The following is a 2,221-nucleotide window of genomic DNA, read 5'->3' as shown; positions in this document are numbered from 1 at the left end:
TTGGGCTTTATAATCTGAACTTGGTCCACTCATGTAGCAGTCACTGCAAGTGACTGCCCATGTGGACATGTGTGCGTGTGTAGCCATGTGCCCATGTGGATGCATGTACATGCATGTGTGTGTCATGCACCATGTGAAGAGCTAGAGGAGAAGAGATGAAAAATACAGGCCTACAAGGTCCATAGGAAAGAAACAATGTGAAAGGTGCTAACATTCAGAGTACTGGGGCTTTGGGGACACAGAAGTGTCTAACCAGCCAGGAAGTGGAGGTGACAGTGGTAGTCTGGGAGGGAAGGTCATTGCAAAGGCCTCTTAGAGAAGGAGATGCTCATGCTGAGTATTGAAGAATGAATAGAAGTGAGCTTCACAGAGAAGGGATAGCCAGCAAGGTGGACATCAATTGCGAAGACATAGTCGTATCCAAGTTGGGAATATCTGGAGTATAATGTGGCTGTGAAGTGTCTCTGGCCTATAGAAAGCACATAGCCATGCTACCAGTCTCTTCAGGGTCAAGAAAAGCTATTATTCTGGCCTAGTGATTCTCAGTCCCAGCACAGATTAGAATCATGTGAGATATTTTAAATACTAACAAAGTCCAGGCCTCACCCCCAGAGATTTGGATTTAATGAGACTTGAGCATCTCTATTTTTAACAAGCTCCCATGTGATTGGAGGGGGCGGGTCTCAGAGTCACATTTGGAGTCTCAGTAAACAGATAGCTGGCCTTGGCCACTGGCAACATGGATTCTCCTGGTTGGGCTGGAGCAAGCTGGGGCTGGAGTTTGCAGGTTGCCTGCCCCATTCCTCTTCTTCCTTCCTGCGTAGGCATGTGGCCACTTTATTGCCTTCAGAGGGAAGAAACTCAGGCTGCAGAGTTTTCAGGTTGGCTGTTCACCTGGTACAAAGGTAGTTGAGTGATCTCTGGCCACTCCCAGGTGCTCAAGCTGCTGCTCCAGCATCCCTGCATTCCTGCCTTGCTGTGAGCATTTCTCCAAGCACAAGCATACCCTCGTGGGGAGAGCAGGGGGTCAGGATTATTGGTAGTAGAGGGAAGCCTTGTGGTACACACCCTAGATGTATCCCCAAGGAATACATGTCAGTACTTGTCAAAAGCCTAGATTCATGAAATTTATCATAGTACGTAATAGAATTTCTCCCATTAAACGCAGTGAAATGAACTAAAACATTGTAATTAGATGCATAATGAAAATAACAGAATATGTAAGAAGAAATCAAAATAGTGAATTTGCATGGCAGGGCTTCTGGGCAGTCAGCTAAGTGTACACCCCAGCTAAGTGTCTCCCAGGCCACTGCAGCCAGACAGCATGTGATTCAAATCTGTGCTGGAGCAGAAGAACAAATTGCTCCACGTCATAAATCTTCTGGGTCATCTGCAAATAGTGGAAACCAGGAATGTTAAATCAGTGAATGCCAAGGGTGCATTCATATATCAAAATAAACATTTGTATGGACAACACAAGTCCAAGTGGGAGAAATGTAGTTGCTTTTATGCGTAAAAGGGATAGATAAGAATCTATCTACTGGATCTTTGAAACAATATTTCTATAGTCCCTCCCATATTTCCAAGTCAGCTGTAGGTATAATAAACAGATTTTTCTGAGTCAAAATCAGGACATGTGATTGGAGACAATTTTTTTTCTGAGTTGTAAATGTATTTATAAAGAAGTATTGCCTTGGGCTCTTAGAAGGACAAAAAAAGCAATGCTGAGAGACGTGCTAAGGCTGGGACAAGTGCCATGTAGCAGAAGAAGGCGGGAGGTTCCCTTCACACAACAGCAGATGAGGTTGCATCTGAGCACGTTTCCCACCCTGGGGAGCCCTGGGAAGTCCATCGCTGTCCTACAGACTGTCCAGGTGGCCATCAGAGAATGTGTCTGGAGTGGCAGGGCAGCAAAAGTCCAAGACAAGTCACAACGAAGAGGCAGACAGTGACCTCCTCTGAGGACAATGAGGCAGTTGCACAAACATCTAAGTGATTAGAATATGCCCCAGGAAGGTGGGGGAGGAAGACTAAAAAGATCTGAGGGGGAATTTTAACGTGAATGTGACTGAATTATAAACCTGAACTTGCAGAGAAAATTCTGAACTGGATTGAGTTTACTTGGAAATGACTAAAATCAAAACTTTCTGCCAAGTCAGAAATTACATTTACTATAAGAAAATAAAGATTACAGTTTTGCATATCTGAGTGTGAGATTGAA

At 44.4% G+C, this 2,221-nt stretch overlaps 1 annotated feature.

The window, feature by feature from the left end:
* Nucleotides 1,743-1,832: an enhancer, noted in NCBI's record as "active region_20846". NCBI's record gives its function as "activates an Ori minimal core promoter by ATAC-STARR-seq in GM12878 lymphoblastoid cells {active_cell/tissue: GM12878}" and the evidence as "EXISTENCE:reporter gene assay evidence [ECO:0000049][PMID:35858748]".

The sequence above is a fragment of the Homo sapiens genome, chromosome 3, assembly GCF_000001405.40.
Source record: "Homo sapiens chromosome 3, GRCh38.p14 Primary Assembly".
In the NCBI taxonomy this organism is placed as follows: Eukaryota; Metazoa; Chordata; class Mammalia; order Primates; family Hominidae; genus Homo; species Homo sapiens.
The sequence above is the reverse complement of the archived record's forward strand: the minus strand, read 5'-3'. Positions and strand labels throughout refer to the sequence as shown.